The sequence below is a fragment of the Homo sapiens genome, chromosome 3 (assembly GCF_000001405.40).
Source record: "Homo sapiens chromosome 3, GRCh38.p14 Primary Assembly".
NCBI lineage: Eukaryota > Metazoa > Chordata > Mammalia > Primates > Hominidae > Homo > Homo sapiens.
The window spans coordinates 140152866-140171444 of record NC_000003.12 but is presented as its reverse complement, the minus strand read 5'-3'; the positions used below and the strand labels follow the sequence as shown (position 1 = coordinate 140171444).

The following is an 18579-nucleotide window of genomic DNA, read 5'->3' as shown; positions in this document are numbered from 1 at the left end:
ACTCAACCAAGGCCACCATTTTGCTCCTTCTCACCCATTCCACAGCAATCACAAACTAACTGGAAAGCAGTCTAATGAGGCAGGGACATATGCCTTGCTATTCTCAGGTCTTGGCCCCTGAAACCCATTTTTACAGATTGGACCATGCCCAGGGCAGAGAGAAGCTCTGGCCACTGCAGGTGTGAATTGGACAGTAGGTACATCCATTTTCACAGTTTGGCATTCGGACTGATGCTTCATTATGGACCCTGGAAAAATTATAACCACACTGGGCTGTCCCCACACTCCTTTGCTCTTTTATTAGCCATCAACACAAATGCAATGTAAATAATTTGCAGCTGTTGGGAGAAACAATTAAATCTTTTTTTCCCCTTAATTAAACCTAGGGGCCTGTCCATTAGAACTGTGTACAAAGCATACACCAGGAGCTCACCCAGTGCTTCAGATTCATTGTGCCTATCTAAATGGTCTAAATTAGATAGGCTCAGTGGCAGGCAATGAAATCTAAAGTTGCAGTTCCTGGTTTTAGCCCTGACTTAGCCACTTTTGCCTGGTCCTATGTGAATCCTCTGGCCTCTCAGAGTTTCAGTTCCCACGACTGTAAAATGCTGATGGTGATGCCACTTACAGTGTTGTTCTGTCATTCATATGTCCTGTGCTAGACACACAGCTGCTGCTTTTTCATTACTCAGACTTACCACCCTGCTTGCTGGGCAGTGACAATGTCTGCAGGAGAGGTGATTTATAGACCAACTTAAAAGTTGAGGTTTTTCCCTCATTAGGAAATGAGCTGACTTCCTTCTATGTACAGGTCTGCCTTCCTTTACTCCTCTCTGTCACTACTTCAGTTAGGGTACCTATCACATATTAGGTATTTGACATCCATACATTTACTAATCCTCACAACAACCCCTTTGGGAAATAATTTATTTCTCATTTTGCAGGTGAGTAACTGAGGCTTAGAGGGATTTAAATGTTCTCATTTTGGAAAGTAAGAATGCTAACATCCCCCAAATTTTCTCCCTTCTTTCCCACATTCTAATTTCCCTCACATCAGGATTTTTGCTTTGTCAAGATTGATTCATAAACAAAATTGCCTTCTATCCTTTGTCTATAGATCAAATCATCAGGGTTGCAAACCAATAACTTAATTTATGTTAATTCGACTACGAAGATATCATTCATGGATGAGCCAAGTATTGTACAATAATTACTTATTCTTTTTAGTGGTCAAATGATCATTTTGAGGACCACATTATTTGCATCCAGATCAACTGGATTCTTTATTTTTTACTCCATCAAATGGCTGAATCATGTTCCTATGATCACAGCTTGCATCACATTTGGAAGCAGCCTCCCTTGTATATTTTTGTTTCCTGAATTTAATGATTATTGCCTTTTTATTCCTATTGAGTAATGAAACATAAAATTTCTTCTGAGCTCAATTATGTTATAGCTTGTAAATCATCCCATCATTACTCATTCTTCATTTGTAAAATGAAGATACTTATTTCTCAGGAATGTCGTGAAAATTGCATGAAATGATGTATGCAAACATAGTACCCAGGAACACAGCAGGCATTCAAATACTCATAACTCCCCCTACCCCATCTCATGATCCTGGGTAGCTAAGGTGTACCCTTGCACTCTCAGAAATGTTCTACCCAGCTTCATCCCTTCAATATATATTAATGGAGTATCCAAAATGTACAGAAAACATACATATTGAGATAAAATGAGAAAAAAAGTCTTTTAAAAAGCATCTGACAAAATTATAATTAAAACTATTAGCAAATGAAAAATAGAAAACAACTTTCTTAACTGGATAAAGAACTTTTACAAAAACCTATAGCTAATATCATACTTAATGGTGAAAGAATAAATGCTTTCCTTCCAAGAACAGGAAGAATACAAGGATGGCCCACTCTCAGCACTTCTATTCACATTGTACTGTAGGTTCTAACCAGTGCAATAAGGCAAGAAAAAATATTAAATTGGAAATGAAAAAGTAAAATTGTCATTATTCACAGGGAACATGATAATCAATGCAAAAATTCTATGGAATAAAACATGCTTAGAACTAATAAGAGTTTAGGAAGGTCAGAAGATAGAAAGTCAATATTAAAAAAGCAATGGTATTTCTATGAAGAAATCAACAATTGGAAATTTCAATTAAAAAAATACTGTTACAATAGCATCAAAAACATGAAACTTAGCAATAATTTTCAGAAAATATATGCAAAAGTTGGTACACTGAAAACCCTGACACTGCTGAAAGAATTTAAAGATCTGAAGAGGTTTTAATGGAGAAATACACAGTGTTCATTATTTGGCAGACTCAATATACTTAAGACGTTAATTTTCCCCAAAATTGATATATAGATTTAATGTAACTCCAACCAAAATTACCAGCAGGATTTCTGAAAGAATAAGCAAACTCTAAGATGTACATATAAATGAAAAAGACCTGACATAGCTAAAAATAATTTTAGGAAAAAAGAACAAAGTTGAAGGACTTATACTACCTAATTTTGAAACTTACTGCAAACCTACCCTAATCAAGATAGTGTGGTATTAATATAAAGATAGATGTATACATCAATGGAAAGAAGAAACAGTCCAGAAATAGACACATACATATGGTCAGTTCATTTCTGACAAAGGTTCTAAGACAATTAAATGGGGAGGAGAATAGTTTATTAAATGCTGCTAGAGAAAAAATGAATATCTATATGCCAAAAAAATAAACTCCAGTTGTATTGTGCTATACAAACAAAAATTATCTCTACAGGAGTCATAGTCCTGAATGTAGAAGTCAAAATTATAAAACCTTTAAAATAAAGCATATCAGAAAATCTTAGTGTCCTTGGGTTAGATTAGAAGGCTCCAAAAAAAAGCATGCCCCATAAAAGATAAAATTGATAACATCAAACTTTATAAAAATGATAGACTCTTATTTTCTTGAAAAACTCTAAAAAAATTGTAAGCCACAGACTAGGAGGAAATATTTGCAAAACATTTCATAAAGGTCTTGTATCCAAAATATATAAATAATTCTTTCAATTAAATAAGACAATTTGATTTTCAAAAAGCAAAAATTGAATATACCTGTCACTAAAATAAATATATAAACAGCAAATTAGAGCATAAAAATTTGTTCAACATCAATAGTCATTAGGGGCATGTAAATTGAAGCCACAATGGGATATCACCACAACACCAGTTGAATGGCTAAAATAAAACTGACAATATCAAGTTCTGATAAACATGTAAAGTAATTGGAACTTTTAGACATTGTTGGTAAGAATGTAAGACTAATACAGTCACTTTGCAAAATAGTTTCTTATAAAATGACTCAGCAATTCTATTCCTAGGATTTACCCAAGAGGAATGAAAACATAAATTACACGAAAGACTTGTATAGAAATGATCACAGAATCTTTATTCAGAATACTTAGTGCCAAACTGGTAACTAAAATGGCCGTCAACTAGTGAATGGATAAACAAATTGCAGAATATCCAGATAATGGACACCCACTCAGCAATAAAAGAACAACTACTGATCCATATAACAAAACAGATGAATCACCAAAGCATTTCACTGGTGAAATGAAGTGAAATAAGTCAGACAAAAAAGACTGCATGCTATTTGATGCCATTCATATGACATTTTAGAAAACACAAAACTATAGGGACAGATAACAGATCAGTAGTGGCTAGGGTTTGGGGTGGGGTGGGATTTGATTGTGAAGGGGAACAAGGGAATGTTCTGAGACGATGAAACCATTCTGTATCTTGATTGTAGTGGTGGTTACACTTCTGCACGTGTGCGTTTGTCAAAACATATCCAACTTCACACTTAAAAAGATGACTCTTATTCTGTCTGTGTAAATTATGCCGCAATACATGTGGGGCAAGAACAAAGTTTTAGTACTCAAAGGACTCCCAGACTAGAGAGGTAAACAGTATGGTAAGAGGTAGGTGAGAAGAGGAAGAGCAGAGTGCTATGGAAAAAGAGAAGTGCTAACTCAGTCAAGCTAACCCAGGATTACTTCCTGGAGAAAGTAAACTCTAAGTCATGAGCAGCAGGAATTAAGCAGGCATAAAGGATGTGGAGGGCTCCAGGCAGAAGAACGTGGATGGGCAAAGGCCCAATGATAAAAGCATTTAATATATCTTGGGGGAAATGTAAATAGTTTGGTTTATCTGTAGAACAGAGTTTGAAGGAGCAAGGCCAGCCACAGTGCTGGACTGAGACGGCATTCACATTACCCAGTGCTTTTTGGCATGTACAGAAATTATCCAGGAGCTACTTCCAAACCTTGGCTTCATGGGATGCTGGAGAACCATCTCCTTTCCAGAAAGAAGTAGTGGCTGTTGATGCCTGTGGCTTGGCTGTTATTCCTTATTTAATCTGTTCCATAGCCTGATGTTCCCTCCCTGAACAAAATGCTTTGTCTTTTTGTTCCAACAGAGCGAGGTTAGTCAGCTCATGCTTCGCTTCATTTGAATTTAACTTCAGAAGAACTAAGTTTTTATCAGTTCTTGACAAGATAATATCCCTGTTTTCTGCACATCCCATCTGGAGGCTGAGCTGTGTCATATCATGCCCCTTTAGGACTAATTCTTGCCTCTTTCTTATCTCTTTTCCATGATGTTTCAGCATTTGGAAAATGCCCGTGTCTTTGCACTCATGCAGAGGAAACACCAGTGTGATATTTCTGCTCCATTTACACAGAAATTAGGTCTTGCCACCCAATGTGCCTTTAACTAGAGCACAGATGCATTCCTCAGGAGAGCTCCTCAGCTCTCTTCTCTTTGCTTACACTGCAAAAAAAGTGTATTAATGCTCCATCCAAGCAGCAGGGCCAAGCGGCTCATGATTTACCTTTTGAATCTTTATGCTTTTACCTAAAGATGACGTTTCTGGCTACTTTCTGACCTTTCTGGACAACCCTGGATCTTTAAAACTCCAATACTGCTCCCTGAGTGAAAGTAAACTATGAGTAAAAAACATGCTTTACTGATTGCAAAATGCTCTAACAAGGTTAACTATACTCTGGTAAATATATTATTCCAATTGTCAGGCTGGTCTTTTGCCTGCCATGCTCAACTTCCTCTTCTGATCTGATCTCCTAGTAGAACTGCTTAGGCCAAGATAGATACTGGACCCTTGGGGTAACTGATGGGTGGAGTAGGCCAATGTATTAGACCTTGAAACTTTCATTTCACAGGCCAGAAACTAGAGCTCATTTGGCAATGGGCACTTGAAATCTTGAGACAAAAGTTAATAGGGAGTTGGGGCTAGCATTCATGCAATCAGCACTCAAAGTTTAGGGGGAGCTGAAAATCCATTTAAATGAGAGACAGCCATCTGCCAGGAGACACAAGGTTTGAGAGTAGATAGGCAGAGAGAAGAAATGGACCCCAGATGGCTGTAGGCAACACAGAGGCACCTCTCCACTCCTGTTTTCCAGCCCATCCCCTGCTCACTTTTCACAGACTCATCAGCCTTCTGTGGGGTGTGTGAGGCTGCCAAGTGAAGCCTTTCAATAGTTATTCTCCTCCAACTTTTAAAAGAAAAATTGTGCTAGTTTGAGTATCTGTTCTTGTAATAAAATGATTTCTAACTATAATTATTATAATAGCATTTTGAAAAGTATTTTTATTCTTTGCTTCAGTCAGGCCAGGATAGGAGGGCAAATCTGATTCTGCCCTTCCCCCACTAGGATACCAGGCTAGGAAGCTGTCCTGCCCTCCATTAGGAGATCAGATGAGGCTACCCTAGGCCCCAAGCTCTCTAGGTTATCCAGGCCTTTGCCATAATTGTGCTGTCTACCCCTGTGCCTACACTCCTATTCATTCTTCCAGGTTCAGCTCACTCCCCTCCCCCGGTTGCCCTCCTGTTCTCCCGTCACCCTGTACTGTCTGCTCTCATGCCACAGGTCTACTGTGTCGCCATTGGATCTTTCCTTGTTCCCATTTCCTGAAGAACCCTGAGGCCCCTTGACCGGGAGGCACCATTCTAATCATGACGATGTCTACAGTTCCTAACACAGTGCCCAGCATATAGTGAGTCACTGGTAAACAAAGTGAGCACACGTTTTCCTTGCCAGCATCTCCAATACCTGAAGCAAAGAGCAGCACTTTGATTCCAATGAGTAGGTATTCCTGTATCACGCAAATAGAAAGGGCATGCCTCCCAAATCTTAGGGTGACATTTGCCATCACTTAATCAGAGACAACCTATATTACTTGCTAGAGGTACCAATTAGAGAGTTTTAAATACAAATCCCATGTGTGTGACTCATACATGAAAAATATCCACAGAAGATGAGATTACATTTCACTATTTTAATTGGATTGAAAAAGTATTTGAAGGACAGATGGCTGAGTCATTAATCCTTAACTGCTTGATAGGTGCTTTCAGTGGGGGCAGAACATTGCTTTCCTTCCTTCCTCACTTCTTTCCTATTTTCTTTCCATCCATCAATCCATCCATCCACCCACCCATCTACCTATCCACCCATCTACCTAGCCATCTGTCCACTCACCATACCTATTTTCTTCTTTCCTTCCAACTATCATTTTCTACCCATAAATACTCAATTGTTTAGAGTGTGGACAATCCCAAAGAACTTACCTAATTTCTCCAGCCTGGGAATGAACTATATGGCAATATCCTTTTGGGTAGTGACATCTGAACCAAGAGCAAGGCTAGGAAAAATTGTGCACTGGGGTACCATGTGAGATTTATGAAACTTAAATTTTAAGTTGTCTCTACACAAGTCATCTGGATCAAGCCAACTGGCCAAAGTTCACCCTAAGACAGACCCTGAGGTTGAGTGTAAGGGGTATTGCAATTAATGTCAAAGTGCTGCCTTTACATACCAACAGGATATTTTAGTTAAGTCTTTCAAACGTCCCAGGCCTCCACTCTCTTTTACAAAATGGAGGTAATACCAATTCTGCAAGGTTTTTGAGAGGAAGATAAAATGAGACTCTTGAGTTAGAGCTGGCTCATTGGTGACTAGCACTTTATAGGTTGCCAGCAAAGGTTTTCAGTTCTGCACCTCAGTATCTACAGGCTGGAATCAGGACCCACACAGGACCCAGCATGCCCACAACCCAACTAATCCATTGGTAGGATGAAGACCTAACAGAACCCTAAGCTTAACTCCCAAGGGCTGGAAAAATTAGACTAAGTCTATGAAGAAGATCAGGAGCCATGCAGAAGAAGATCAGGAGCCATGCAGAAAAAGATCATTTCGAATAAAAAGGGGCAAGGAAAAAGGGACTGTGATTGTTTAATGCTCACATTCACTTGCTAGAGTCAGCTCATTTTTTACACAAAATATTTTACCTACTGAACATTATTGGACTGAAGTGTGCATTAAATTGTTATATCTCTAATTCTCCAAGATTGTTATTACTTCAATATCTCACACTTCATTGCATTTTAAACATCTTTAACCCCTAAGATAGTCCTTAACTTACTTTGGAATTCATGCTAATAAATGTAATTGTCTAAAACTTTCTGTAATTGCCATTGACAAACCAGAATCATTAACATAGCTAACCAGAAGCCACCACTCCTGAGGGCCTACTATGTGCCAGCCTTTACGGTCGTGTTCTCATTAAATTCTCACAAGCACCCCTGCAGGACGGCAGAATTGGCTCCACTTCATGGATGAGGGAACAGGTTCAGAGAGCTTAAGGAACTCATACAAGCAAGGCCACGGCTCCTAGATGGAAGAATTGAAATTTCCTCCCTGGATGGTCATCCTTCTCCCCACAAGAAGTCAATGCAATGGCACACATTCAGTTCCATCTCCTGTGGGTCAAACTGTGGACCAAGTGCTTGGTAGGGTACAAAGAGACAATATAGCCAAGACTAAAGTGGACTGGGGAATGAACAGTCAGGGTTCACCAGAGAAACAGAACCAATAGTACATAACAATCTCTCTAAATCTATATCTATCTAGCTCTACATCTGTGTGTGTGTGTGTGTGTGTGTGTGTGTGTAGAGATAGAAAATTTTAAAGAATTGATTCATGCATTTTGTGGGGGGTTAGCAAATTTGAGAACTGTAGGTCAGGCCTGCAGGCTGAAAACCCAGACAGAAGTTGATGCTGCAATCTTGAGGCAACTTTTTTCTTTTCCGGGAAATGACAGTTTTTGCTGTCAAAGCTCTTCAACTGATTGGATGAGGCTCATCCATGTTAGTGAGAGTAATGTCCTTTACTTAAAGTCAACTGATTGTAGATCTTCAGCACATCTACAAAATATCTTCGCAGCAATATCTAGACTAGTGTTTGATTAAATAACTGGGTACTACAGCCCAGACAATTTGACATATCACAAACTAATCATCACATGCACTGAAGAAGTTTTTAAGACTGCTGTATTCAAACTGAGTGAGAAGATTTGATAGGATAGTACAAATTTCTCTAAAGCTTAGAAAGAAATGCTATACTTTTGTTTCTCTACTGGCAAACTAATAAATAAAACCCTTGTGGCTTATGCTACCAACTTTGTTCTAGAAGGTAGCAAATGCATGATACATTTTTACTGCGAATTCCATTTCACGCCTTAGATTCTAAGATGTCCAGAACGATGGATGACAATTATCTGGTTTACAGTATATTCACTGCAAAATGCTTGCCTGCTTCTCCATGCTTCAGAAAGAAAGCACTGGCAGGCCAATTTTGCTTGTTATTTATGTGAACTGTTATGTGCATTTCCCCAGCTCTGACTCCTTCCTGAAAAGATACAGAGTATAAGAGGTAGAAGACAAGCAAAAAGGCCCCCGCCACCCAGCCAAATACATAATTATAACAAAGTTGCAAGCGAATACCCTAGGTCATCCCCACAATCAGATCTGATTGTCAGTCTATCAGAGAATTTGCTTTTATTTGCATCCACATGTCTGCATTCCTGCCTGCTCAGTTCAGCTCAGCTCAGGCACCACTGACAGGGGCTCTGACACTCCTCTACTCTTCCACCCCTAGATACATAACCAAGACTAAATTAAGTCCCTCTCCTTGTCCTCCCAAAGTCCCCTGCTTATCTCTAGCATAGCAAGTACTATACTGGATGTAAATATCATTTTGTACCTTTTCTATACCAGATGGTGGAGAAAGATGCTGTGTGTTTTATGTCTATATCCCTAACCCAGCACAAAAGTTCTCAAAATATGGCCAGGAACCCTTGGGAGGGTCTCTGAGACCCTTTCAGGGGTTCACAAGGTCAAAATTATGTTTACAGAAGTGCTAAGATAGTATTTGCTTTCTTTGCTTTTATTCTCTCTAGAGCAGTTTTCCAGAGGTTATAAGCAGATATAAAAATCCAGCTGTCTTCTATTAAGCCAGACATTAAAGATAATTGCAAAAATGTAAAACAATGAGACTCTTCCCACTGTTTTTTAAAATTCTTGTCAACAGTTGTTTTAAGTAAAAAGTTTGTTATTTTGGTCAATATTTGATGAGTTTATTGTTAATTATAAGTAAATTAATAAATATAGATTTTTAAATTTTGTCAGTTTAAATTGCTAATGCAATATATAGTAACAGGTATAACCTACAAAACGAAAGCTCTTTGGGTTTGTTAACATTTAAGAATGCTAACTTGTTAAGAAACCAAAAGTTTAGTATGTGGCTTGTCAAAGGACTTGAAACACAGCACATGCTGCTCAGGTAGGAAAGAGTGTGAGTGTAAGGGGAGGAAGAGAGTGGGGAGAGAAGAAAGGGACAGTAGGAGGGGAGAGAAAGAAAGGATAACCAAAGTTATCCAGGCAAGACTTACATAATTATTTCTTAGATTTAACTCAGTTAGGGAGGGTTGATCAATGCAGTGACAAGATTGGTTCTTTTTCCGGTTCTGGTTGTGAAGGAAAAGTAACTTGTTGACTGGATCACTAGCACATCAATTTTTGTGATACTGTGTAGGTAATAGAGCCTCTGATTCTTTTGGAAAAAGGAAGGGGAGCATCTTTTCTTGTATGAACTTGAGTGCATGCTGTCAGGAGAATAATTGTCTGAAATCACAGTCTTTATATCTTTTGCAACCTGGTTGGAGAAACTGCCATAAAAATAAGCAAACTTCATAAATCATCTCTGTAAAAGGCATCAAAGGTTAAAAGCATTGTGAGGAACTTCTGAAATACATTTGGACTCTGAATTTTCAGAGTGTTTAGGAGGCAACTATTGTGTCTCAAAAGAGTAATCATGATCTTGGAGATTTTAAAGGGTAATTCCACTGTTGAAGGTGTCAATGTCTCCTAGTGGTAAATAGAACAAGTACTTGCCAGCTGGAGGAGTCTCTCAATCCCTAAGGCATACATCCCAAAATTGCTAACTGAGACCTTTGCTCTTACTAGTAGTAATCCTGAGGCCTGGCACATGGTAGGTGCTCCGTGTGTGTTAAGTGTGTGTTAAAAGATGAATGAATAAGCTTTGACTGCTTGTTATTATCTGAGCAAAGACTGACACACAGTGATTCCTCCTCAATGATTATCTGAACCAAAGAAAGCAAATAGTATCTTAGTACTTTTATGAAAATCATTTTGATCTTGTGGATGGACCCTTGAAAGGGACTCAGGGACTCCCCACCAAGCGTTCCTGGGTGTATTTTGAAAGCTATTGTGGTAGGTTAGGGATATAGACATAAAAGACCCAGCATCTTTCCCCACCATGTGGTAGAGATTGGGACCTACTTATTTCTGAACAACTTTTGGTTGACCAAGAGAATTTTGGTTTTCTTATACACCAATACTTCTGGGGATAATAAGACAAGAAAGAAACAAGGAAAAGGAAAAAAAAAATAGGATGAATAGACACTGTAGATAAAAGAAATCGGCAGACAGTAAACACTGGCCTAGAACAGTCCAGCATGGAATGAGAAAAATGCTATAGAATTCCATGAAATTGAGAATGTCTCAGGAGGAAAAGTCATTCCTGAGTCATAAAATCATATTTACATGAAACATTTGGGTGGTGAAAAAGACATACATATTATATGCAAAAAGCACATAAATTTACTAGCAAAGAACTCATTTAGGGTTGGGAGAGTCTAAAAAATTCCTATAAGCATGATAAATGCAATTAATTGTGCAGGGCTCACCATATTAAATTTAAGATAGATGTCATGTCTTTGGTAGTGTTTTATTGAATGTTCTGTATGTCAGTGAAAATAAAGATTATTTACAGAAACTCTAAATATACATTAACTCTAAATATCATTTTCTTAAATCTGTTTATTTTATATTTTTAGAATTTCAACTTTTATTTTAGATACACGGGGTATATGTGCAGGTTTGCTACATGGGTATATTGATGATCCTGAGGCTTAGGATATAGATCCTGCCACCGAGTTAGTGAACACAGTACTCTAGGAAGTTTTTTTAACATACACCCTCTCCCCATGCTACTTTCCCCTTCTAGTAGTCCATAGTATCTATTGTTTCTGTCTTTATGTCCATGAGTACCCAATGTTTAGCTCCCACTTGTGAGATCATACAGTATTTCATTTTCTATTCCTGCACTAATTTGTTTAGGATAATGGCCTCCAGCTGCATTCATGTTGCTGCAAAGGATATAATATTGTTCCTTTTTATGGTTGCATAGTATTCCATGGTATATATGTACCACATTTCTTTATCCAATCTACTGTTGATAGGCAACTGGGTTGATTCCATGTCTTTGCTATTGTTAATTGTGCTGTAGTGAACATACAAGTGTGTGTCTTTTTGGTAGAATGACTTGTTTTCATTTGGATATATACCCAGGAGTGTGATTGCTGGGTCGAATGGTACCTCTGTTTTAAATTCTTTGAGAAATCTCTAAACTGCTTTTCACAGTGGCTGATTTAATTTACATTACCACCAACAATGTAAAAGCATGCCCTTTCACCACAGCCTTACCAGCCTCTGTTTTTTGTTTTTATAATAGCCATTGTAATGGCTGTGAGATGATATTTCATTGGGATTTTGATTTGCATTTCTCTGATGATTAGTAATGATGAGCATTTCTTCATATGATTGTTGGTTGCTTGTATATCTTCTTTTGAGAAGTGTCTGTTCATGTCCTTGGTCTATTTTTTAATGGGGATGTTTTCTGCTTGTTAAATTATTAAGTTCCTTATAGATTCTGGATATTAGGCCTTTGTTGGATGCATAGTTTGCAAATATTTTCTTACATTCTGTAGGATATCTGCTTATTCTGTTGATAGTTTCTTTTGCTGTGCAGAAGCTCCTTAATTAGGTCCCATCTGTCAATTTTTATTTTTATTGCAATTGCTTTTGGGAACTTAGCCAAAAATTCTTCACCAAGGCTAATGTCGAGAAGAATATTTCGTAGGTTTTCTTCTAGGATTTTCATAGTTTGAGGCTTCACATTTAAATCTTTAATCCAATTTGAGTTAATTTTTGCACATGGTAAAAGGTAGGGGTCCAGTTTCATTCTTCTGTATATTACTAGCCAATTATCCCAGCATCATTTATTGAATAGGGTGTTCTTTCCCCCATTGCTTATCTTTGACTATTTTGCTGAAGATCAGATGGCTGTACCTGTGCGGCTTTATATCCAGGTTCTTGATTCTGTTCCATTCGTCCATGTGTCTGTTTTTGTGCCAGTACCATGCTGTTTTGGTTACTGCAGCCTTATAGCATAGTTTGAAATCAGGGAGTGTGACACTTTTTATTCTTTTCCCTTAGGATTGCTTTGGTTATTCAGGCTCTTTTTTGGTTCCATATAAATTTTAGAGTCTTTTTTTCCGATTCTGTGAAAAATGACATTGGTAGTTTGATATAGTGTTGTAAACTGTTTTCAGCAATATGGCCATTTTAACAATATTTATTCTCCCAATCCATGAGCATGGAATGTTTTTGCATTTGTGTCATCTATGATTTCTTTCAGCAGTGTTTTTTAGTTCTCCTTCTAGAGATCTTTCATCTCCTTGATGAGCTGTATTCTTAGGTATTTCAATTTTTTCATAGCTAGTGTAAATGAGATGGTGTTCTTCATTTGACTTTCAGCTTGAATGTTATTGGTATATGGAAATTCTACTGGCTTTTGTACAGAGATTTTGTATCATGGAAAAAAGTCATTTATCAGTTCTAGGAGACTTTTGACAGAGTTTTTAGGTTTTTCCTGGTATATAATCATATCATCAGTGAAGAGAGATACTTTGACTTCTTTTCCTATTAGGGTGCCTTTTATTTCTTTCTCTTGCCTGATTGCTCTGGCTAGGACTTCCAGTACTATGTTGAATACGAGTGGTAAGTGTGGGCATCCTTAGCTTGTTCCAATTCTCAAGGGGAATGCTCCCAGCTTTTGCCCATTTAGTGTAATGTTGGTTGTGGGTTTGTCATAGACGGCCCTTATTGTTTTGAGGTGTTCCTTTGATTCCTAGTCTGTTGAGGGGTTTTGTTATGAAGGGACATTGCTTCTCGGCCTTTTGGCTAAGATCAAGTGTTATGAAGGGACACTGGATTTTATTGAAAGCTTTTTCTGCATCTATTGAAATGATAATATGGTTTTTGCTTTTAATTCTGTTTATGTGCTGAATCACATTTACTGATTTGTGTATATTGAACCAGCCTTGCATCCCAGGAATAAAGCTTACTTGATCATGGTGTATTAGCTTTTATGTTCTACTGGATTAACCCCAAAGCAAGTAGAAGAAAATAAATAACTAAATTAGAGCAGAACTGAATGAAACTGAGATGCAGAAATCCATACAAACAATCAATGAAACCAAGACTTGATTTTCTAAAGATTAAACAAGACTGATAGATTGTTAACCAGATTAACAAAGGAATAAAAGAATATCCAAATAAGTACAATCAGAAATGACAGATGACATTACAAGTGATCCCACAGAAATACAAAGATCCTCAGAGACTATTACGAACAACTCTATGCACACAAATTAGAAAATCTAGAGGAAATGGATAAATTCCTAGAAACACACAGCCTCCCAAGATTGAACCAGGAGGAATGTGGAAACCTGAACAGATCAATAACAAGTTCCAAAATTGGATCAGTAATTTAAAAAACCTACCAACCAAATAAATCCGCAGACCAGATGGATTCACAGCTGAATTCTACCAGACATATGAAGAAGAACTGGTAACAATCCTACTGAAACTCTTCCAAAACATTGAGGAGGAGGAGCTCCTCCCTAACCAATTCTTTGGAGACTAATAGGAAAATCTGGAAGAGACACAATGGGGAAAAAAAAAACCTTTAGGCCAATATCTCCACTAAACAGACACAAAAATCCTCAACAAAATGCTAGCAATCTTTTTCTTTAAAAAAATAAAGATTGAATAGTTCTGAGCAGCGATGCTTCCCCTCATTGAGCACTTCTAGGAAGTCAATCTACTTCACACTGTATCCTCTACAAAGGGCAGGGGCAAGACCTCCCCTGTGTCCTGGCTCATATCTGACAGGATTAATCAGATTCAAAAGAGCCTTTACTTCTCTCTGATGTCAGCGGGTTGTGTTTGTCCAGGTCCTCCGAGAGGCAAACACCAAGACAGGATTAAACATGCAAGGATTTTATTAAGAAAAATTATTTTGTGAGGGAAAGTAAGGAGGGAGCCAGAAACGTCTGAAGAGGTCAGACCTTGATGCAGACATAACCCCAGTGGAGGGGAGAGGAAGAAATAAATTGTGAGAAAAGTGTCCTAGACTTCCATGCAGTCTGAGTAGGAGGTGATGAAACCAACACCTACAGTGTCCTCAAGTCAAAGTCAACTGTCAGAGGAGTCTCACCTCTTCGAGGAGAAGGTCTGCTTTAGTATGCCTCAGTATCCCCACACTCAGTCACTGGCTCAGACAACCCATGGATGGCATGGCATTAGTGCCAAGATCTTTCACTGCCCAGCAGCTGGGGCCTCATTACACTCCCTGAAGTTGCAGTCTGTGAGAAACTTTCTCAGAGCTGCCATATAGAATGCCTGGTCAGGTCCTCAGTTCCCTTAAAGTTAACTTTAAAAAAATTGGCAAATACCATTCATCAATTCAATAAATATTTATTGAGAATCTATGATACAGAAGGCCCTATTTCAGCATGAGCAATAAAATGGAAAAGAAGCATATTCCTGGAAATATCTAGCAGTGGTTGATTTAGAGTAAATTGTAATTGAAACATCGTAGAACAAGTGAACAGAGCCTGTCCTCCTTTCAGACCCATGGCAGGCATGGGTAATCAATCCCACTGACCCTGAACATGACCTCAGACTCTTTCTCAACACAACGTTTGTGGCAGCCTCTTTTTAATAAGAGATAGCACCTAAGATAAAACTTATTTGCTATCCCTGTCCTAGGAGAGTAGTGGACAGTGGGATGAGGGAGGAAAGAAATGCAAAGAACGTTATACACCAAAAATAAGTAACAACGCTGAAGAAGGAGGACAAAAGTAAGATCAATAAAATTGCCCCTAGGAGGGCTGGAAATAAATCTGTCTGAATGGGAAAAAAAAAATGAGAGAAAGCATGGCTAAGGATATTAATGTCAGCTTCTTACTCTTGTATCTTGGGCCTAATTAGCTTGGAAATGGTTTTCAAAGCAGATGGCAATCTCAATGCACTGAATTGTCATGACTGTCTTGGAATTTTGGAAGCCCTTGACTTACTGGTTGTTCCATGACATTAGAAGTCTTTGACGAGGGAAGCTGGCTAAGAGTGGTCACTCAGCAAGCAAGTGTGTGATGAACCAGATTGAAGACTTGTTTGCATCATGACAACTTGGGTATTATCTAGGATTTCCCAATGCACCAAGCAAACAGGATCATGGGCATACTCAGAATAACCTAGACCCAGTCACTTGCTTTGGGAGACAGCCAAGACAAGATGTTCTGCCTTAGAATCTGAGTAACCTGCTCTTTTCTTAAATATGAGCCCCTGACCAGATATAACTTATTGTTCCCCTTCAAATATTTAGGAAACTCCTCGCCTCTGACTGCCACTTTGGAACAAGAGCCAACTTTCCTCCCCAGACCTGCTCCTCAGCTCATGGGCACTATCTCAGAAAATGGCACACTATTGCTGCTCAAGCCAATACCCTAGGATGTACCTTGATTTCTGCTTTTTCCTAACAAGCAGTTCTTACATCACCATACATAATTTATCAGCAAGTTTTGCCATTCCTACACCAACACAGTAAAACATAGAACTTCTCTTTCTCTACCTGCCAACATTCCATTCCCAGATGATACTACCTTAGCCTCTGCAAGAACCCCTTAGTTTACCTCTATCCATTCACTCTAATCATCGGCAATCCCTTTCCACGGAGCTGCCAGAGTAATAGCTTCAGAAAGGAAGCAGGTCCTGGCAATTTCCGTTTAGACCCTCTCAAGGCTGTGGATATGGTTTGGCTCTGTGTCCCCACCCAAATCTCATCTTGAATTGTAATCCCCACATGTCAAGGGAGGGGCCTGATGGGAGGTAACTGGATCATGGGGGAGTTTCCCCCATGCTGTTCTCATCATACTGAGTGAGTTCTCATGAGATATGATGGTTTAAAAGTGTGGTACTTCCCAGGCTGAGGCGGGCGGATCACGAGGTCAGGAGATTGAGACCATCCTGGCTAACACGGTGAAATCCCATCTCTACTAAAAATACAAAAAATTAGCTGGGCGTGGTGGCGGGTGCCTGTAGTCCCAGCTATTTGGGAGGCTGAGGCAGGAGAATGGCGTGAACCCGGGAGGCAGAGCTTGTAGTGAGCCGAGATCGGGCCACTGCACTCCAGCCTGGGCGACAGAGCAAGACTCCGTCTCAAAAAAAAAAAAAAAAAAAAAGGGTGATACTTCCCCTCTCTCTCTCTCCTGCTACCATTTAAGACGTGTTTCGCTTCCTCTTCACCTTCTGCCATGATGGTAAGTTTCCGGAGGCCTCCCCAGCCAACTGTGTCAATTAATCCTCTTTTCTTCGTAAATTACCAGGTCTCAGGTAGTCCTTTATAGCAGTGTGAAAATGGACTAATCCAGCTGCCCACCACACTTAGAATAAAGTCCAAAGTACTTCTCATGGTTTATTATACCCACTCCTAACTCATCTCCTACCACCTTCCCTCACCCCCAGTCACACTGGCTTCTTTTTTATTCCACAAATTCACCAAGCTCAGGCCTTCCTTGGAGTATCTGCACTAGATGTTCCCCCAACCAGAAGGCCAGAAATACTTTTCCCCATCACATGACTGGCTCCTTATTATCATTCACTCTCCACTCAGACCTCTGATAACCCCTTCTTGAAGACCCCATCTGAAGGATCCTCCATCTGCCCCACAACTGATCCTCTCAAAATTTTATTATTTTCATCACAATGATCACACCTAAAATTAAGCTTTGTAAGTCTTGACTATTTTGTCATCTATCCTTGCCCCTTGGGAATCCAAGTCCTGAGAGCAAACACCTTGTCCCTTTTGTGCACCACTATTTCTCTGGAGCTTAGACAGTGCCCGGAAATGGCAGCTATCAATAAATATATGCTGAGTCAGTGAATGAGCTAGCATCCATCATGGCTGTCAGTGAGATCAGAAAAGCTTCAGACATGAGCTCTCTTCTTGTAGATCCCCTTCCTGACTCAGCTGTGCTCCCTCTGGAAGCTCCACTCCCACCAGTGTTCTCTCTCACCTCCCATGGCTGCCTTCACAGCCCTCTGTTTCCTCTTCCCATTACCCCAAGGCCTGAGGTGGAGCAAGCTCAGACATTCCCCACATCAAGGCTCTCATTATTGTGCAAAGAGAATTTGAGAAGTCCCAAGGCCCTTTACCCTCAAAAGGGATGAAGCTTTCAAAGAAGGAATTCAGAGGTGAGGTAACAATTTGAGAACGGCCCCTTGTGCCTTGATTTCCTTTTTAACAACACTTCACCACCCCGTCCCCCACTGTCTACAACATACACACAGGTGCACCCAGGCTTCATAGCTCTTTCAGCATCACTGGCTGCCCTAGCTGGTGGAGAAGAGTGAGCAGGGCCTGCCCCAGAACTGGAGGGGAAGCCCTGCTCTGCACTGCTGCTGGGCAGAATGCCCAAGCCACAGCTCCCGCCAAATTCTCACTGCAAGGAGGTGGCTCCAGCCTTGAAGAGTTACACACTCAATAGGAGAGCATGCTCATGTTTTCGTGTAGGACAATTTGCTTTTTTAATTGCCTGGCAGCCCCTTATATTACCAGTGCCAACGGGTGTACTTGTTCCTCCACTCCTACATCTTTATAAAGCAGCCCCTGGCTACACAAGCTATAGAACTCACAAGGGAGCTGAGAGAGGCTGTGCAGGGGACATGTACCAGGACCCCTCTCTCAACAGTGGAAGTCAAAACCTCAACCCCTTTTCTCCACTGGAGTTTAACAAGTCCCACACTGTGCCCTGGTACTCAGTTCCAAAATGTTCGCACACCAACCTGTGACACCACATAAACCAGGAAGGCACCCAAGCTCCACAGCCAATGAGGCTCCAGTCGGGATTCCATTAGGAATGTTTGAGTTAAATTTAGTGCATGTAAGAAAAGACTTTGGCTCCAGGGCCTGTCCTCAGGGCTTGCACACAGCAGGTTAAGGATTTATTGGATTATGA

At 39.6% G+C, this 18579-nt stretch overlaps 1 protein-coding gene across 2 annotated transcripts in view, besides 1 other annotated feature; it reads right to left on the bottom strand.

Moving 5' to 3' along the window:
- CLSTN2 (calsyntenin 2) overlaps window positions 1-18579 on the bottom strand; it is a 642213-nt gene that overhangs the window by 405953 nt on the left and 217681 nt on the right. The window lies entirely within an intron of this gene.
- Window positions 527-646: an enhancer, noted in NCBI's record as "active region_20616". NCBI's record gives its function as "activates an Ori minimal core promoter by ATAC-STARR-seq in GM12878 lymphoblastoid cells {active_cell/tissue: GM12878}" and the evidence as "EXISTENCE:reporter gene assay evidence [ECO:0000049][PMID:35858748]".